The sequence below is a fragment of the Homo sapiens genome, chromosome 10, assembly GCF_000001405.40.
Source record: "Homo sapiens chromosome 10, GRCh38.p14 Primary Assembly".
In the NCBI taxonomy this organism is placed as follows: Eukaryota; Metazoa; Chordata; class Mammalia; order Primates; family Hominidae; genus Homo; species Homo sapiens.
In genome coordinates, this window is record NC_000010.11 from 24,196,735 (window position 1) to 24,215,870 (window position 19,136).

At 45.4% G+C, this 19,136-nt stretch overlaps 1 protein-coding gene across 21 annotated transcripts in view, besides 5 other annotated features; it reads left to right on the forward strand.

Moving 5' to 3' along the window:
- KIAA1217 overlaps positions 1-19,136 on the forward strand; it is an 853,117-nt gene that overhangs the window by 502,008 nt on the left and 331,973 nt on the right. For 20 of the 21 annotated variants that reach the window (NM_019590.5, XM_047425513.1, XM_047425497.1 and 17 more), the window contains exon 1: positions 12,404-12,529. The exons of the other annotated variant lie outside the window; for it this stretch is intronic. In NM_019590.5, coding sequence (NP_062536.2) covers positions 12,460-12,529 — 70 coding nt within the window. In that variant the 5' untranslated portion in view covers positions 12,404-12,459. Of the gene's footprint in view, positions 1-12,403; positions 12,530-19,136 lie in introns of those variants that run through there. 21 annotated transcript variants of the gene reach the window in all.
- Positions 5,508-6,273: an enhancer, noted in NCBI's record as "H3K27ac-H3K4me1 hESC enhancer chr10:24491171-24491936 (GRCh37/hg19 assembly coordinates)". NCBI's record gives its function as "activates a minimal SCP1, AML or CMV promoter by ChIP-STARR-seq in naive H9 embryonic stem cells {active_cell/tissue: H9 hESC(naive)}" and the evidence as "EXISTENCE:reporter gene assay evidence [ECO:0000049][PMID:30033119]".
- Positions 12,590-13,789: an enhancer, noted in NCBI's record as "CDK7 strongly-dependent group 2 enhancer chr10:24498253-24499452 (GRCh37/hg19 assembly coordinates)". NCBI's record gives its function as "activates an origin of replication core promoter dependent on BRD2, BRD4, P300/CBP, MED14 and CDK7 cofactors, with strong dependence on CDK7, by STARR-seq in HCT116 cells {active_cell/tissue: HCT116}" and the evidence as "EXISTENCE:reporter gene assay evidence [ECO:0000049][PMID:35650434]".
- Positions 12,823-12,872: a silencer, noted in NCBI's record as "silent region_2221". NCBI's record gives its function as "represses an Ori minimal core promoter by ATAC-STARR-seq in GM12878 lymphoblastoid cells {active_cell/tissue: GM12878}" and the evidence as "EXISTENCE:reporter gene assay evidence [ECO:0000049][PMID:35858748]".
- Positions 13,163-13,222: an enhancer, noted in NCBI's record as "active region_3153". NCBI's record gives its function as "activates an Ori minimal core promoter by ATAC-STARR-seq in GM12878 lymphoblastoid cells {active_cell/tissue: GM12878}" and the evidence as "EXISTENCE:reporter gene assay evidence [ECO:0000049][PMID:35858748]".
- Positions 17,675-18,263: an enhancer, noted in NCBI's record as "H3K27ac-H3K4me1 hESC enhancer chr10:24503338-24503926 (GRCh37/hg19 assembly coordinates)". NCBI's record gives its function as "activates a minimal SCP1, AML or CMV promoter by ChIP-STARR-seq in primed H9 embryonic stem cells {active_cell/tissue: H9 hESC(primed)}" and the evidence as "EXISTENCE:reporter gene assay evidence [ECO:0000049][PMID:30033119]".

The window sequence follows — 19,136 nt, forward strand, 5'->3', positions numbered from 1 at the left end:
TAGGAAGGTGAAGGTCCAGGCATATCTAAGCCCCAAAACCAGTCTGAGCGGTGCGTAGAGACAGGGCCGAGGTGCAGATGCTGCGCTGCTCCCCTGTAGCCTCCAGCTGTTTTATGGGGCTCCTGGGCTAATAGGGGAAAATCTGGCTTCACACCCTGGGGATTGAATCTGCCTAGAGTTGGTTGCCTTTATTTACACTCATTTACCCAACAAATATTTCTGGAGTGCCTACTATATGCCAGGCACCGTGCCAGGTGCTAAGCATCATTACACTTCACATCCTTCACTACGATATGGAGTTAAACGAAAGAGTTTGCACAGAGTTCTAGAAATTGTACCCAAAGCAAACTGAACACACAGCTAGGCACAGGCAGAAATTTGAGAACTGTGAGGGGATCTATATAACCAATGACCTTTTAGTTAAACTAATATCCCTGCCACATCCTTTCTTTATAACTCATATATACACGGTTTCAGCATCTTTTTTGATAAATGGTCATTAGACTTCTTGACAACTATTTATAATTCGGCACCCAGTAATCAATCAGAGTTGCATATGGTACAAAATTAATGCCATGTGATGTGCCTGGAGCCATTTCTGACTTATGGAAAAAAGATGGTGTTGGCAGAATGTTGAATTTTCATCCCTGTTTCTAGAACGTGCAATGCTGACTTGCTGACATTGAAAGAATGTACCAACAGAAACCTATTAGAGCAGTGAACTTGTTTTGGAAATAGTTGGGTTGGGCCTATTTGTGGTAGCACTGACCAAAGTCAATCAGGGAAAAGAACTGAGGCGGAATGTTGAAACATAACCTGAGTTTGTTCAGCAGTCTGGAGCATCTCCCAACTTCCACTACCCTATGTGCAATTTAATTTCTACATCCTGCCAATTTTACTTCCTGAGTATTTCTCAAAGCTTTGCCTTCTTTTTATCTTTATAATTCCCTTAGTTTCAAATCTCACATATTTTTTCCTGAATTACTGTAACAGAAACTTTATTGTAATCTCTTTTCCTGCTTCTCTCAAATCCATTCTCCACACAGATTTATCTCAAACACAAATCTGATCATGTCCTTAGTCTGCTATTGTCTTGTTCATGACTCCATGGTGCTTGCAGGACACAGTTCAAGCTTTTTGTGCATGAAATGCATGGACCTGACACCTGTCCTGGTGCGCGGAATGCATGGGACGGATAGTTGTCCTGCCACATCCACCATCATTCCATCATCTTTCCTATCACATCCCTCCTGGGGTTTTGCAGGTGCTCTGAATTGGTCTGTGAGCCTATTGAGTGAATATCCAAACATATGCATCCACCTCTGTGCTGTGTTGCTTATGAGTTTTCTCCTTGGTAAACCAGGTAACCCTGATGTGACCGAATGCCATTATTCAAAACATGTTATGAGTCTGTGTTGTTTTAAAGAGTCCCATTATCAGTGGGTAATATTTCTGTCCGATTCCAGAAGCTTACTGCCCTTCTCTTCCCCACTTCTCAGCTACAGAGAATTCTTCAGCTAATTCTCTTTGGTGTTCAGGATTTCATTAATCGGATTCTGACCTCAACATAAAATGGAAATGTTTGGGATACTGGGTGGGCGTGGTGGCTCATGCCTGTAATCCCAGCATTCTGGGAGGCTGAGGCGGGTGGATCACCTGAGGTCAGGAGTTTGAGACCAGCCTGGCCAACACGGCAAAACTCCATCTGTACTAAAAATACAAAAATTAGCCAGGCGTGGTGGTGCAGGCCTATAATCCCAGCTATTTGGATGGCTGAAGCAGGAGAATTGCTTGAACCCGAGAGGCAGAGGTTGCAGTGAGCCAAGATCGTGCCACTGCTCTTATCTCGAAAAAAAAAAAAAAAAAGCATTTACTCAGGATCTGTGTGTGCCTCGGGCTGTGGTAGGAAATGGGGATTCAGAGACAATAAAGCTAGTCTTACTCCTTGGTGACCTCATAAATCTCATGAAAGAGGCTCACATATAAGCAAAGAAAGTGCGACAAATGTTCAAAAATCTACGGCTTCTCTGATCAATGTCAACATCCTTGGCCTCCACCACTGGCAAACTGGGGCTTAATAGTTTTTTGAAAAACTGAAGGTGTGAGTGAGTAACGAGATGGATGAATTGATCATCTTTGGCCTAAAGCAGTACTCTCCGAACTACTAGGCCTTAGGAGGCAATGTTCAGTATTACATGAACAAGCCAGGTGTGGTGGCTCACGCCTGCAATCCCAGCACTATGGGAGGCTGAGGTGGAAAGACCAGGTGAGGCAAGGAATTCAAGACCAGTTTGGGCAATATAGTGAGAACCCATTTCTATAAAAAATTTGTAGAAAATTAGCCAGACATGGTGGTGTGCACCTGTAGTCCCAGATACTCAGGAGGCTGAGTTGGGAGGACCACTTGAGCCCAGGAGTTTGGAGGAGTTTGGGGCTGCAGTGAGCTGTGATTGCACCACTGCACCCCAGCCTGGGTGACAGAGAAAGACCCTTTCTCAAAATAGAAAAGAATTAAATAAACAAAACATTTTACATTTTAATAGTTATATATTTACTATACAGGATGTAAGAAAATATGCAACTGTTTTATCAAACCCAGAATCTAACAATAATATAGATGAGAGGAAGCTTAATATTTTAAGCAAGTCAGTATAAAGTTAATACTAATATAAATGGTAAGAATTTGACCCAATTACCTCTTAAAGACCCCACCTTTCCACATTGCCACACATTAGTGATTAAGTTTCAACATGAGCTGTGGCGGGGACAGACATTCAAACTATAGCCGAAGAGAAATTGTTGAAGTTTGGGAAACAAAGTAATTTTCACTGTTTCCTTTTCTTCAGGTTTTATTCTTTCCCCAAATTCAGCCTACAGTTGACTGTTTTATGTGCAACCAATGGCAATTTTTAACTATGGAATTGAAACCTTTGAAAAGATAAGACAAAGCTGTGTGTGTATGTGTCTGTTTTTAAAGATGAATCAAACTGTGTTTATTATTTATTTTATTTCATAAGTGATTCTGTAAACTGACCACGTGAATGTCCTGATTTTCATAGATTATGACTGGCTCAGGTGACAAGAAATAGACATACTAATAACCTAAGAACCTTGGGTTATTATTTATATTTGGAAGTAAGGAAAAACAGGAAATGGCTTTCCCAAGCCTCCTGAGCAGCATTTAGGAGACATTTTATATATTTTTATTTATATATTTATATACATATTTTAGGATAACATTTAGGATACAGCAGTAGTGGCATCAGGCTGACAGAAACTCTGGGAAACCCACAGTACACTGTCCTTCCCCCCCATGCACCCCTGCCCAGGCTTCAATGTCTCCACTCCTGCTTCCTTCTCTACCTCCTGCTGCTACGCGGTCTGCTCTGCTGATCTCTCTCTTTCTCCTTTTCTCTCTTTCTTTGGTTTGTGTTGCCTCATGGCTTTTGGTTGCTGTCACTTTTTTCATTATTTTTTAATTTTTTTTTTTTTTTAAGAGATGGGGCCTCGCTGTTTCCTAGGCTAGAGTGCAGTGGAGCTATCAGCTCACTGCACTCTCAAACTCCCGGGCTTCCGGCTAATTTTCTGAAAATATTTTTGTAAAGATGAGGTCTCGCTGTGTTGCCTGGGCTGGCCTCAAACTTCTGGGCTGAAGTGATCCTCCCACCTCAGCCTCCCATGTAGCTAAGACTACAGACAAGAGTCACCAAGCCACCATGCCACTGAGCCACTGTGCCACTGCACCACCTGGCTATGCTTGCTGTCTTTGTGCACCTCAGCTTTCGCCTGCCATACTGCCTGCATCTGGGGTGACCAACTCAACCCAGTTTTCCTGGGACTTTTCCAGTTTCAGCACCAGGCCACACCCAAAGTCATAGGTGAACTGGGATGTTTGGTGACGCCACCTGTATCCCTTCGCTATATATTTCATATTCGAATTCTGTAAAGGAGAAGAGGGGAAATCTGACTGGATCTCTTTGTCCCTTGTCCAACCCGGGGAGCATCTGAGCTCTTCCAGCTGAGCCTACTGATTGCACCAGTCAAGCTTGGGGGTGATGAAAGGAAGCATCCCCAGCTGCCTTTCTCAGAAGGGGCCTGTGAGCAGAGTGAGCCTGGGAATATCATCAGGTCCTGTAGTCCATTTTCCACACCAGTTTGTATCAGTGCTGCTGCTGAACATGTTGGGTGAAGGTATGTGCAGATGAGAGGTGGCAGTAGGGGGCAAGCAGAAACAATTTTAAAAATCATTGCAGCAGCTGGGTGCCATGGCTCACACCTGTAATTCTGGCACTTTAGGGGGCTGAGGTGGGTAGATCACCTGAGGTCAGGCGTTCGAGACCAGTCTGGCCAACATGGTGAAACCCTGTCTCTACCAAAAATACAAAAATTAGCCAGACGTGGCGGCACGCACCTGTAATCCCAGCTACCACGGAGGATGAGGCAGGAGAATTGCTTGAACCCAGGAGGCGGAGGTTGCAGTGAGCCAAGTTCCCAAGACTGTGCTCCAGCTTGGGTGACAGAGCAAAACTCCATCTCAAAAAACAAAAAAATTCGTTGCACCTTTTTTACTTTTATGAACTCAAGCGTTACACAAATTAGGCTCCTAATATAGTGTTATGGAAACCCTGGCCCAACCAGTCATTAAATATTTTATCCCACTCAATATTGTCCAGTTCAGAGATTGTAAATTTTGCAAAAGGGAGTGTTTACAAAGCAAAACGATGTCATCTGGGAAATGAAGAATGTTAAGCTCTAGCAGCCCTGGGGAGAAACACAAAATGCACTTCGGCTTAGGGCAGAGAAGCTTAGCCATCAATACTTTGTAAATCCTGGAGGGCTTCCTCTACCTCCTGCATGCCAGCACCCCCTCTACCCACTTGGCTCCAGAAATTAGTCCTTCTGTATTAAAACTGTTTTTCCATCTGCAAGGAACAGAAGTCCCCACCCTGCCCTACCCCGCCTCTGCTTCCGCCCCACCTTCAATTCTGTGGACTGAGGTGGGGAGAGAAAAATAAAATCACTGTAAAAATACTTAACTTCTGAAGCACGTGACTGGCTTTCAAGAATTCTATAAACTCGAGGGTGAGGCACTTGAAGAAGTTGGAGGCATGGCTCAGGGCAAAGCAGGGGCTACAGTGAGCCCTTTGAGTCTCTGGACACCCCTCTCGAGCGCCCCCAACCTCCTGATCACCCCTGATCCTCCTATCCAGCACCCCATTCCCAATTCTTCCTGGTGTTCTGAGACCCCCGAGGGAGTGCAGGCTGCACGCAGGCAGGCGGCCCAGCCCCGGGTGCTGGGTGACCCCCTCAGCTCCAGGTGTGGCTGCAGGACTGTCAGCCTCCCGGGGGTGACATGGAAAGGTGAATGTATTTGCACTGCGCCTTTCATTCTGTAACATCTGTGTCTCTGTTTCTCTTAAAGCCTATGGCCATCACTCAACCGGAGGCTGAGAACTGATGAAAAAGTGGAACAAAAACAAAATAAAACTAGCTGCGTTGTTGAAACAAAGTCAATTTCAGTGTTTATTTGGCAGAGAAGCCAGTAGAGGTGATCAAAGTGATCAGGGCAATTCACTTGTTTCGCTGGCCCTGGGAGGGAAGGTGAGGAGCTCTGAATTCCAAAGGTAGGGGGAGAGGAGAGCAAAGCTCAGGGGAGAGAGCGGTCAGGAAACTCCCTGGGCACAGGCAATCCCTGCCAGGACTCCAAGACACCAGTCACAGGCTTCTCCTTCTCCTGCATCAGGGTGACCTGCAGGGCCCTGTTCTCGGAGCCTCCACCCTCCACCCTGGGCTGCACCACGGCCCCCAAGCCTTCATGAGCACCGTTGCCCAAAGGCTGTGCTCTGGTTGCACCCTTGCTCCCAAGCTCCCCTCACAGGCGCTTTCCCCTATCCTAGCAGCTCCACGTCTCCTCTGCTCTGAGGGTGGTTTCCATCTTTGGCCTCATCCTCCTGGAAGCCCTGCCCCCCAGGGAGGTCCCTGGCATCACAGTCTTAGCTTACAGACTAGAGGTCTCAGTGACTAGAGCAGGCGCCCAGCTGCAGGGAGACTTTGATAAATATCTATGGCCGAACTGCATGATGCCTTAGGGCTCTTACAGCAATGCCCCCCAAATAATACCAGACCCAATTCTATAGTTGAAAGAAGAGGAATTTTAGAAAATAGGTATACCGGGCCAGGGGCAGTGGCTCATGACAGTAATCTCAACACTTTGTGAGGCCAGGGCTGGAGGATTGTTTGAGCCCAGGAGTTCAAGACCAGCCTGAGCAACATAGTGAGACCTAATGTCTACAAAAAAATATAAAATTAGCCAGGCATGGTGGAGTGTGCCTGTAGTCCCAGCTACTTGGGAGGCTGAGGGTAGAGGATTGATTGAGCCCAAGAAGTTGAAGCAGTGAGCTGTGATCATACCACTGCAATCTAGCCTGGGTGGTGGAGTAAAAACTTGTCAAAAAAAAAAAAAAGAAAGAAGAAGAAGAGAGATACCTCCCCTTTTATTCTTCATTTCCATCTAGCAAAATAATAAAAATAATATTGATGATTGAGGGGTCGCCTTGGACAATTGCCTTGGACTTCAGTAGTGAAAAAAGAGGATAAAAGATCCTAAGGTATTCATCAAGTATAACAGAGCAAAGGCTGAACAGGACCCTGGAGACGAGAAAGATGGGAGAGATGAGAGCCACACGTTCGAGAATGCTCCAGGAGTCAGTTTGTTCAGCAGCAAAGTTGGGGGATGTTGGTGGGGGAAACAGGGAGAAGTGTACTCCATGATCCTAGTTTTGGCAACTTGATTGGTTCCCCTTCCTTCTTGCTCCCCCTACCCCCCAACCCCCACCTCCACAGGTCACTGCAGCTTTGAGAAATGGCAGAGGAGAAGCTCAAGGGCAGAAAATAAGCCAGGAGAGTCTCTTTCCCCCAAATACTCTATTGAAAGGGTTGATAATGAGGCACTGTGGGTAAAGCAAGGTAGCAACCCAGGTGCTTGTATCTGTAGAAGCTCTCATATTCTCGTGGATTCCACCCTGGCCCTTCAGGAACTCTGGGAAATATGCCATGGTTTTGCTCCCTCTGGGATAAAAGGGGTGAGCAGATACATGTTACACTTTTCACTTATAAGTTGCCACCTGGAATCCAGACTTTGTCTGCAGTGACCAGAGGGCAGAGCTGAGCGGGGCTTTCAAGACGGTATGCTGCACAGATGCCAGCTCTGGCCACAGTGCTGTGCACACGGGGTCTTTGCTGCCCAGCATCTATCTTCCAACTTAAAATAGATAAAAGAAACCATAATAAAAACCAACATCAATGGGTTCTCTTAAAAAGAAAGCAAATATGCTTAAAGTATTAACACATTGGATCTATGTGTAGTTTCACATCATATGACCACATGAGGAATTTGTGTGGAGTAGCAGGAGAGTTCCAAGACATTTCATAGGGAGATTTGAGTGTTGGTGGGTGGCGAGGGGCTCCTGGGCACCTCACTTATTGTCTGGCAGGATCTCCTTGGAGCCACTGGAATTTTAAGGACTTTAAGTAAGGGAAGATTGGTTACCCTCTGGAGAGAATGCTGGAGGTTACCTGGTGAAATTGTTGCTCTTAACGCAGAAGGGAAAATTCTGTTTTGATCTATGAGTCATATAGAAATGTATTATACTATGGAATCTGCGAAATTGTTTGTTAGTGGGGCTTGTAATACGGTCCGTGTGAGGCTCACACCTTTGCTCTAATTATTGTTTAAGATTAATTATTTTTTAATTATTGTTTCAGATTCTTTTATAGGGTCTTTGTTGGGAAACTCAAACAGTATCATTATGTTCCCCTCACATTTGGAAACCTAAGGCGCCCAGAGGGCTTATCTTGGGATCACACATAGGTGGCCATCTGTGCTGGTTTGCCAGGGACAGTCGTGGTGTCTTATTGTCCAGTTGTAATTATTAATAGTGTCTACTTTCCCTCTCACAAATGCTGGTTTATACTAAGTATAAGGTCACCCTAACCACCTGACACATTGCTGTCAAAACTAGGATTGGAGAGCCCACATTTCACATGCGCCAGATCATCCATTTAAGCAAATGTTATCCCAGTTGTTAAAAATCCTTTATTTCTGACTTACAGGGCCTCATACCATAGCAGCCTGTCTTTTAGAAACAGTTAATGTGGAACACATCAAACACGAGGCCTCTGGTTGAAACACTTTTGTTGACTTCTTTGTTTTTCACTTTGTTTTAATTGACTCTCACAGTTATGAATGCCTTTGAAAAGTACATTTTAAGGACTTCAGCAAGCATTAATTATTTCTTTTGTGTCCTGATGTCAAGTCATTTTCAACTATCTGGTTCTTAATAGGATTTAAAGTGAAAAAATATTAAATATGTATCAGGGCAATTCCACTTACTCTTGGTTCTTGCAATGATTTCTCTGTTGAAAAACTTACATAGGCCAGGCACAGTGGCTCACGCCTGTAATCCCAGCGTGATTACTTTGGGAAGCCAAGGTGGGCGAATTACCTGCGGTCAGGAGTTCGAGACCAGCCTGGCCAATGTGGTGAAACCCCGTCTCTACTAAAAATACAAAAAAAAAAAAAAAAAAAAAAAAAAGCCAGGCGTGGTGGCACATGCCTGTAATCCCAGCTACTCAGGATGCTGAAGCGGGACAATTGCTTGAACCCTCGAGGCAGAGGTTGCAGTGAGCCGAGATCGCGCCATTGCACTCCAGCCTGGGCGACAAGAGCAAAACTCCGTCTCAAAAAAAAGGAAAAAATGCCGGGCGCGGTGGCTCATGCTTGTAGTCCCAGCACTTTGGGAGCCCGAGGCAGGCAGATCACAAAGTCAGGAGATCGAGACCATTCTGACTAACACGGTGAAACCCCATCTCTACTAAAAATACAAAAAGTTAGCTGGGCGTGGTGGCATGTGCCTGTAGTCCCAGCTACTTGGGAGGCTGAGGCAGGAGAATCACCTGAACCCAGAAGGTGGAGGTTGCAGTGAGCCGAGATCATGCCACTGCACTCCAGCCTGGGTGACAGAGCAAGATGCTGTCTCAAAAAAAAAAAGGAAAGAAGGAAAAAAGGAAAAATTTACATGAAGGAAGTTGACATGCTTTCCACAACCCTATAATTGGCCTGCTGAGAAATCATATGCAATTGTTTACGATTTTTGTGATTAATTCTCTTTATGGTGAATGCCATTTACGTTGCGTTATCAACACCAATAATGGTCCAGTTCTGTAACGGGTTAGCTATGACTGCAAAATCACCATTTGTCTTTACAGCACTCTTTTATCTCGTCACTTGTCTTTCCTTTTAAATGACATTTGTTTTATGTGGTAGCTCATTTTGAGTCATGAATTGCAACATATGGAACCACTAACCAAGAAATAGTCTTGCACCTTTCCCTGTTAACAGAAACGGAGTTGAAAACTTAGCCTCCTGGTATTATTATTATTCTAGTTCTTTATATGACTGGAGGAAAATCAGATTTCAAGTTCTTCCCGCTTTCCTTATGCCTTTCACAGCAAATTTCAAAGTATAGCAGTAGGCAGATTGCAATGTAATAGCAATTTTTAAGCCCAGAAATTAAATTAAACCAGAAAGAAATACACCTACTTCTAGTTCAAATAGTGTTTCTTCCAGAAAGAAGAACATCTCCACAGTAACAGCAGTGACAATAAGAGTATTTTCATGAAGATCGGAGTTACCAGGTTTATATAGATTGCAGAATACAGCTACTGTTTTCCAGAGACACTGACAATCAGTGCTAAATTGTTAGGAAGGTCTCTGTGCTTTGGAGAAAGATATGGAATAGTCGGTGCAAGGGCAAATAGAGTGCCTTCTCAAATTGTTTTCAGTTCCTCTTCTTAAGGAGGAACAAAAGGCCAGTAAGTAATCCAATAGAAGCTTTTCCCTATAGAATGGTCAGAAAGTTTGATCATTCAAAAGAACATTATTTTACCATAAATACATGTCTAGGTTTCATGATCCTTAATGATTCATGTTAATTCTCTTCCCCCAATGCCTTTTTCTGTTGTGCATATCACAGAGTTTTGTTTCCTGGAATATCAGCAGAGAGGGCAGTGGGCTTGGCCCGTATGGGGGAGGGGAGGGTCCTAGCAGCTGGAAAGCAAGGTCGGCTGACCAAGGGGGTTCCTTGGGCTGCCTGGAAAATGGTAGTTCAGACCTGGTGGGAGACATTTCCCTATTTTTGTCCATCTAGGGGTCAACAGAGGCCTGAAAGACTGCTCTGACACCTTCCAAACAGCCCCCAGGAAATCTTAATCAGCATCTGCCAATGGATCTTTTCTGCCTGGGTTGAGCTAGCCAGGAGGGCCCTGGGGCAGGGTGCTGTTTGTGGCTGCCAACGGCTGTGGCAGCCCTCTGCTGCCTCCTTCATCCTGGGGTTTTTGCCTTTGTGCTACACCAAATGACAGGTAGGAGCTGTTAAGCACGGGCTCTCTGGACACCAGAGCAAGGGGATTGGGGTCACAACCAAAGGCTGCGGGACATCTGATTTGGGCTGCTGCATCTCCTGCTACAGTGTTTCTCTCTCTCTCTCTCACACACACACACACACACACACACACACACACATACTTTTCTCCCACCCTCCTCCCCACTCTTCCTAGCATTAATACTTTAAAGACAAATACACAACAGTATACAAGAATCAGGATGATCTGGACCTGAAAGGCTGAACACAGCAGGGCCCTCCTTCATGAACATTTTGCACCTAAGGAAATAATAAGGTTAAAACTAGATTCATCTGGCCTTTGCCCAGGGGCCACCAGGACAGAAACTGTGTAAGATTAGTTCCTCCTTAAAGCAAGATTGCCAGGTAATTCTGTTGCAAAGTCATAGAGACCTTAAGTTATCTGCCCTGCAAATCCCACTGCCTCTATTCAGGCTGCCGAGGCACTGCTTTAATTTTTTGAAAGATTCACCGCGTCTTCTTGGATTTCAAGAAAAATCCCGTTAAGAATTGAGGGGCTCTCTTCTTCCCCTCCTGACGTGAGTGTAACTCACTTCCTGGTATGTCTCCTTTCCTTTTGGCCTACATCCTTTGTCTGTTAGGTGCTTCCACATCCTTATGTCTTAAATGGCCAAAATACGTCACCCCCACTGCCAAAACACACAGGTCACTCGAGGTCACAATCTGGAACATAGGCTGGCCATTGTTCAGCACACATTCTTGATCTAAATCAATCTCAAACCTTGCTGGAATGCCCTGTAAACTGGGGCAAAGTATGGTCACCAGACTAACCATTGTCCTTTTTTACCCCTCCTGTGACGGGGCTACTACAGGTTACAAAATCGCGCTCTTCCTCCTAGCTACTGTGTTACTCTGAGATATCTGACATCGCAGAGCTAATGTTGCCTAAATTATTTTCCCATCCTCTTTTTTTTTTTTTTTTCGGACATCATGCCTCCTATTTTCACTCTCTGGGAACTCTGCCAGTTTTTCAAGGACTGGGTAAAGAACAAAATAAATATTTGTAGGTGGTTTAAAAGGAGAAGTATGTTGGTTGTAACTCTGCCTGTCCAAAGAAATGCATTTTCACTGTCTTTCAGATTTTTGGAGTCGTTAACTGGGAGAGCTTCAGAAGATTGACTTTACTAGTTTACCTTTCAGATTTGTGATTAAGGGCTGGGTGTGTGTGTGTGTGTGTGTGTGTGTGTAAGTGTGTTGGGGGAGGGAGGAGTCTGAGAAAGTGAGCAAGTACGTAGAAACTTTTTTTTAAAAAGTCCAGATTAAGTGATTGAAATCGACTGTGTGCAAATGACGCTATACCTCTTCATAGATGTTAATCGGGCCCTAAAAAGTTAGTGCCGGAAAGTGCTTACTTACAACACTCAGCATATACTCTTTCTTTCAAATTGTTTGGGATTTTTTTTTAAGGGAGTTCACTGAAATTTGGGAGGTTCAACAGGTTGCTGTTTTTTAATATGTGGATCACCCGATTTGGGAGGCTCACTCTGCCTCTGAGATTAAAGAGATGAGGGCACTGGCTCCCAGCGAAGGCTCTCGGCCTTAATCATGTGTGAAATGTTTTCCTTCCTCGGCTGCAGAGCCTCGGTGGTTTGCAGCAGTGGAACCAGGCAGGCCCAGTTGTGGGTAGGAGAGGCCGTCACCTGTTGAGGCCTCCCCCCCACACCCCCGCATCGCCCTGCCCTGGCAGAGCCCAGCCCCCAGTCCCCGGAGAGCGCGCCTGAGGACGGACGGACGGACGGACGGACAGACCTAGGGACGGAGGGCCAGGGGCAGGGGAGATCCAAGAGGCCCCGCGCTGGAATGCAGTTTTCTCGGGCGAGGGAGACTTTGCACCGGAGTGGAAAATAGTTTGGGGTGGGGTTTCGCACCGTCCCCTCCTCCCCAGCCCCGGGCCCCCTCCCAGGCGCTTTCTGGGAGCTTTTAGAACTGCGCTCTGAAGTTTCCAGAGAGCGAGGAGCTTTTGCGGCAGGCAGAGACAATGGAAGAAAATGAAAGCCAGAAATGTGAGCCGTGCCTTCCTTACTCAGCAGACAGAAGACAGATGCAGGGTAAGTAACAGACCCATTCAAAGATGGAGTTACAGGGACGCGTGCCCCTTGCCGCTTGCTGCTTTTTATAAACTGCAGCTCTGGGACCCGGCAAAGGAAAAAAAAAAAAAAGGCAATTTCTTGGGATGGTACATTTTCCAAACTGAGTAGAGCATAGAGAACTGTGATTTCTTAGGCTTGACTTTATCTCTGGCACGATTTTCTTAAGCAGCAAAAGAGGTGGTGGGGTGATGTCACATTTGTAGTGCAGTGAGCCATCAGCATGAGCTGTATCTCTAAGCAATGACAAATAAATCACTAAGCAGCTTTTAATCATTTCCCCCCGGGGCTCCAGCCACGGGAGAAAGGAGCTGTTTTTGTGAAACTGTCTCTAGGACCGCAGCTTCCATTCATTGGTTGGGGGATTCCATGTGGCAGATGCATGCTGGCTGCAAAGTTTGTGCAGAATTTTAGAGTTAAATCACAGAAACCAGGCATGTTTTATTTTACAGATCCGAGCAGCAGGGGAGGGCTTGAGCATCTGGGTGATAGATAGAACTCTGGATCTTCTTTTATGTTTTAATTCAAAACTTGGGAGTTGTTGGACAATTTTGGTAAATTTTCTCCAGGCAGTTTCCCTTTAATTGTGTTTATAATAGACTTGTCTTTTCCGTAGGGAATTTCCAGAAGCTTATGTTGTTCCAAAGAAATTTCGCACCGGGTTGGGTGGCCAGAGGAGGTCCCTGCTCTCTGGCATCTGATGCCTGTGATGCCAAGAGCTGATTCTGTGGGATCCTATAGGCAGCATGTTCATAAACCACACAGCCCTGGACCACCCGCCCCACCCTCCCTCAGGTTCATGCAGGGGCCAGTACACAACAAAAAGACGTGCGGGAGTGCAGTGCTGTGCGTGGGAGTAGGGATTATGCACAGGGGAAAAGGTGTGTGTTTTATGAAAATGTGAAAGGGAAGTAACACATGACTCATCCACGCTGAAAATGCAAAGCTAAGCCAGTCAGGAGAACTTACAATGACAAGAGATAGAAATCCCCCAGTGAAATGCAGAAAACTTGAAGTTTTGTAATGGCTGGAGAATCCCTGAGTCTGAACAGTCATCTGTCGAAGTGTCTGCCTTCGTGCTGCCAAAGCACAGCACTCTCCTTCAGGCTACCGGGGTCAGTGGCATCCAGTGGAAGATAAGGCTACCTCGTCCCCCTGACCCCCGCAACCCCCCACCCCCATTTTCTAGGACAGGATCCTACTTCAGGAATTCAACCTCTGGGCCTGTCCTGAAAGAGATGACTCAGATTCTAGAGGGGCCATTAGAAAGGGATCCATTTAAGAAATGACTTTCCAACAATCAGGGCAATTCAGAGGCTTCAGAGGCTAGGATGGTCAGCCTGAGACAGTGTGCTCCTTTGCTCACTAATTCATTCATTCAGTGAATATTGAGCATCTGTTATGTAGACGTCACTGTTTTAGCTGCCAGACATCCAGTGGTGAACAAAGCAGACTAAAAATACTTGCCTTCATTTAACTTCCAGTGTAAGGACCAAGTTTCAGGGGGTGGGGAGCTGGTAGAGACAGACAATGAACAAATAAATAAAATATATAGCATGTTAGATGGCACGGCTGCTGGATTTAGCAAATAAAAATACAGGAGGCCCAGCTAAATTTGAATTTCAGGTAAACGGTGAATTTTTTTTTTTTTAGTATAAGTATATCCCATGCCATATTTGGGATATACTTATGTTAAAAATACTTCTCCATTATTTATGTAAAGTGCACATTTAACTGAGCAGTCCTGTATCTTATCTGGCAACCCTATTTGATGGAAATAAGGTTACAGAGAAAAATAAAGCAGGAAAAGGAATAAGGAGTGAAACTGTAAATAGGATTATTAGAAAGAGCTTCGCTGAAGTGATATTTGAACAAAGACAGGAGAGGTAACAGCAGGGATGTAATGTTTTCAAAGAACAGCAAGAACATGGGAGAAGGATGGGAGGAAAAGAGATTGAGAGGTAATCCCAGGCCAGATCACCTAGGGCCCATGAAACCATTGTAAGGACTAGAGCTTTTATTTTGAAAGAGGTGGGAATCTCCTGGCAGGTGGGACTACTTTTTTTTTTTTTTTTTTTTTTTTTTTTTAGAGAGGGTCTCATTTGTCACCCAGACTGGAGTGCAGTGGTGTGATCATAGCTCACTGCAGCCTTGAACTCTTGGGCTCAAGCAATCCTCTGGCCTTAGCTTCCAAATAGCTGGGACTACTGGGACATGCCACCATGCATGGTTGTATTGTATTGTATTGTATTGTATTGTATTGTATTGTATTGTATTGTATTGTATTGTATTTTATTTTATTTTAGAGAAGGGGTCTTGCTATGTTGCCCAGGTGAGTTACAAAGGGATTTGTCTTTTTAAATGGGGTAATACTGGGTGCTGTATTGAGCACAATCCAAGTAGGGTTGAGGGAAGGGCAGGGAGGCCTTTAGGAAGCTTCTGCAGTCAAGGAGGCAAGAACCAGGGCTAGCTTGGACCAGGCGGTGATTAGCAGGCGGTGATAAGCCAGCAGATTCTAGGTGTATATTGAAGGTAATGCCCAAAGCATTTCCTGTAGCCTGGGCAGCATAGTGAGACCCCATCTCTAGAAAAAAAAATTTAGCTAGGCATAGTGCCCTGTAGTCCCAGCTACTTGGGAGGCTGAGGCAGGAGGATCACTTCAGCCAGGAGGTTGAGACTGCAGTTAGCCATGATTACACCACTGCACTCTAGCCTGGGTAACAGTGTAAGATTCTGAAAGAAAGAGAGAGAGAAAGACAGAGAGAAAGAGAAGGAAGGAAAAAGAAAAAAGAAAAAAAAAGAAGAGAGAGGAGGGGAGGAGAGGAGAGGAAAAAAGAAAAGACAAACAAGACAAGACAAAAGCAATTGCTAAAGGATTCAACTTGGGATGTAAGAGAAAAAGAGGAGTCAGAGACAACTTCCAAAATTTTGGTGTAAGCTGCTGGGAGAACGGAGTTGCCATTTGCCTAAGTTGGGGAGTATTTACGAAGAACAGATGAGAGGGTGTTTATGGTTTGAGGTTCTGAGGAGCAATCTTTTGATAGATTAGGATTGAGAAGTTTATCAGGTATCCAAGTGGAGATGTTGACTACAATTTGGATATTAATCACTAGAGCTGAAGGAAGACTGAGAACTGAGAGATCCCCTAAGATTGAATCTGTGTGCAGAAGAAAAAGTCCAAAGGATGCCCCCCGAGGCAGTCCAGCATCTAGAGGTCAGGGAGATTGGAAGGAAGGGCTGGAAAAAATAGCAAAAGTGGAATAAAAATCCAAATTAGATTTTTAAAATCCTGTTCAGTTCTGGGTGAATATGATGCTGTAGAGAAGCATGGCTTCATTTTTAGTTCTCCCGGTGAGCACGAGTGCCGCAAGGGAGAGCAACATCTCTGATGCTAACATCACCCATAACGTTCATTTCTATCATTGCATTCTCTCTTGTGTCTGCCTGTGTATCTGTTTTACCCAATGACAATGTGATATTCCACAGCAAGGACCATGTTTTATTTATTCACGTTTGCATTTCCAGCACCTAACAGAGCACTGGGCAACCTAACAGAGCACTCACTGGGCACTGTAGAAGGCACTCAATAATCATTTGTTGAATGAAAGGCTAATTTTACCACTTTGGGACTTTGAGTTTATTATCCTGCTATAGATAAGGATCCCTAGGGTGATCATGTAACTTACTGTCCAAATGAGATCCTTTTGAAAGTGAAAGGGAACACTCAAATAATTTTACTGGGACAACAGTTGTAACCCAGAGCTGTTTTGGCAAACTGGGGTATATGATCACCCTAAGAATAGCTCTAATCAATGAAGCTTCCATGGCTGAATAGCCCGGCTACCAGGTAAATAACAATGGGGAAGTGTAGCGCATAGTGTGCTTTGCGGAGTAGGCACTCAACAATTATTGGTGGAACATGAATCTAACTGTATCATATTCTCTTTGAAGCCCATGGGCTCTACATTGTGACCCTGGGGCATAGGCATTCCTTGGGATGACTCTGTCCACAGCAGTCCTGACGTGTGTGCTTTTGCTCTGGTTCCTAAGGTCTTGAAACCTCTATGCAAGTGAAGTGCTATTAGCCCACCTGCTTGCCTTCCCCACTGTCTGATTGGCAGCCTCCCATCGAGTGCAAGCCTGGGGAATCAGATATGCAGAAGCCTCCTCTAAAACAGCCCCCTCAGTCTCTGTACCCTTATCCCGTTTCATTCTTCAAAGCACTTACCGTTACATGACATTTAGAGTCTATATGATTTGTTTGTGGTTGGCCTATTTCAAATGTGGACTCCTCTATGAGGGCATTAAGTCTGACTTGATCTACTTCACACTGTATCTCCTAACTCCTTTCAGTGTGGGAGCAGGCAGTCAATAAATATTTGTATGAATGAATGAATGAATCAATCAGTGCTTGACACAGAATGCTTTTCTGGGAAGAGGAGCTCCTGTCTCTATTTTGTCTAAGATCTATACCAGAAATCCTCTTCATCACTGGTAAAATTTTAAGGTACTATAGAGGAATATAATGACCTGGTTTCAGCTGTAATTTCTGTGCTGATTTGTATATATATTATGATAGTAACAAGGGAGCTAACCCCATCACTTTGGGATGCTGAGGCAGGAGGATCACTTGAGGCCAGGAGTTCTAGACCACCCTGGGCAACATAGTGAGACCCCATCTCTACAAAAAAAAATGTTTTTAAAGTAGCCATGCATGGTGACTATGCACCTGTAGTCCCAGCCACTCCAGATTCTGAGGCAGGAGGATCACTTGAGCCCAGGAGTTTGAGGCTGCAGTGAGCCATGATTGCATGACTGCATTCCAACCTAGGTGACAGAGCAAGACCCTGTTTCTAAAAACAAACAAAGAAAAAAAACAAGGGAGCTTGAAAACTGAGGGATGCTGTAGGATTCTGCGGCCTGCTAACCGATTATGTGTATTAATCAGATAGGCTAATTGTTGTAACCACCCTCTAATCTTGGTGGCTTTGCATGATTAAGGTTAATTGTTCACTCAGACACAGCACAGTGTGATTTCTGTGGCCAGGTGGATTTCCTGGGTGGCCGATGAGGCTCCTCCTGCCTTGTCACTATGGCATCCCCCACGGCGTTGGAGGGTTCTGCTGGATCCTTTGTATTCAACTGGCCAAAGAGTAAAGAGAGAGAGAACGTGGAAGGTTATTTGGGAGGTCTAGGGGCCCCAACAAAAGGTGGCCCACATGGCTTCTGCCCACAATACATTGACTGGAATTAGTACAAGGACCCAGTGAGATGGAGATGGCTGGAAAATGTGGTCTTCCTCTGTGTGCAGCAGAAGAGCGTTCTGGTCGAACACATAGGGCTGTCTCTGCCACGGTACACCCAGAGAGGTTGTACAACCAGACCAAACAGCAACTCCCTATGATGCTCCCTATGACAAGAGAGCTTCTCAGCACAATTGAGAAGGAGACAGCTAACCAGAAGCCACTAGAAAGAAGTGAGGGATGCCTTCCCTAAGAGTCTGTGGCCTACCTAATCTTGACCCAGGAATAGGATCTCAGGGAAGCCATCAGCACTGTTGCTGGCTCTGGAGCAGGTGTGGAATGCCTGAGTGGTGCAAGGCCCCAAATCCCTTGCTGCAGGTCAGCTGACCCAGCCAGAGTAACCCGAGTTGTGGCAAAGAAGCTGGCCTTGGCAGCGCCTGCAGTTGCCTGCCTGCCGGACTTGCAGTGCGGCTTTCTCCTTGAGGAGGCCCCATCTTCCATGAGCCTCTGCGTGTTTGGTGTCTGCCCCAGCCCCTACTTTCTATGCTTTCTTTCCAGAATGCCAAATCCTAGCCTGGGAGCTCCTTGGATTCCTGAAGAGTGTCCCTTTAGCATTTCTGCCTGCCTTGTCCTCACTTCTCCAGGGAATGTTCCAGGGATTTTGCTCGGCTTTAAGCTCCTATGTTGCTCTTTGCCCTGCTTGAAGTGAGCTCCCAGGAGGAGTTGCCCTGGGCTCTGCAGAGGCTGGGAGGGGCAGGAAAGGGAAACAGGACTGCCTTTCAGCAAGCCCAAGCCTTGCCTTCATGCTACAGCTTCATTATTTTGTTTGACAAGGATTCCCAGAATAGCGAACAGCTAGACACACCCATATTTAAATGTTAACACCAAAGCGCATTCCAAACAAGAAATCGAATTGTATTTCTGTTTTGATGACTTGGATAATCCACACTTGAGCTTTTCTCTATTCATGTGGATAATGAGGAGTTGGCCAGGCTCAGATCTCTGACAACATGGCTGTGGAATTGTGACTAAATGTCCTCTGCCTGATCCCTCTCTAGTTTGTAATCATTCTTAGTTTTTCTCCACTGAAAAGACCACATTCTCCTTAAATGGCTGGAATGGCAGAGTTGTTGCTTCTCCCCCAGGTGTGGGGCTTGACGCTTCCAAGAGCTGAGCCTTGTCGAGGAAAAGGCTCAAGTGACAGATGTGCTGAAGTGCCTTTGTGTGGAAAGTGGCGTTAGGTGGCTCTGAGTGCTGGTGACAGGAGAGCAGGTGCCTCGAGGTAGGAGGGGAGGCAGACAGGATGATAGAGCATTGGGCATTGG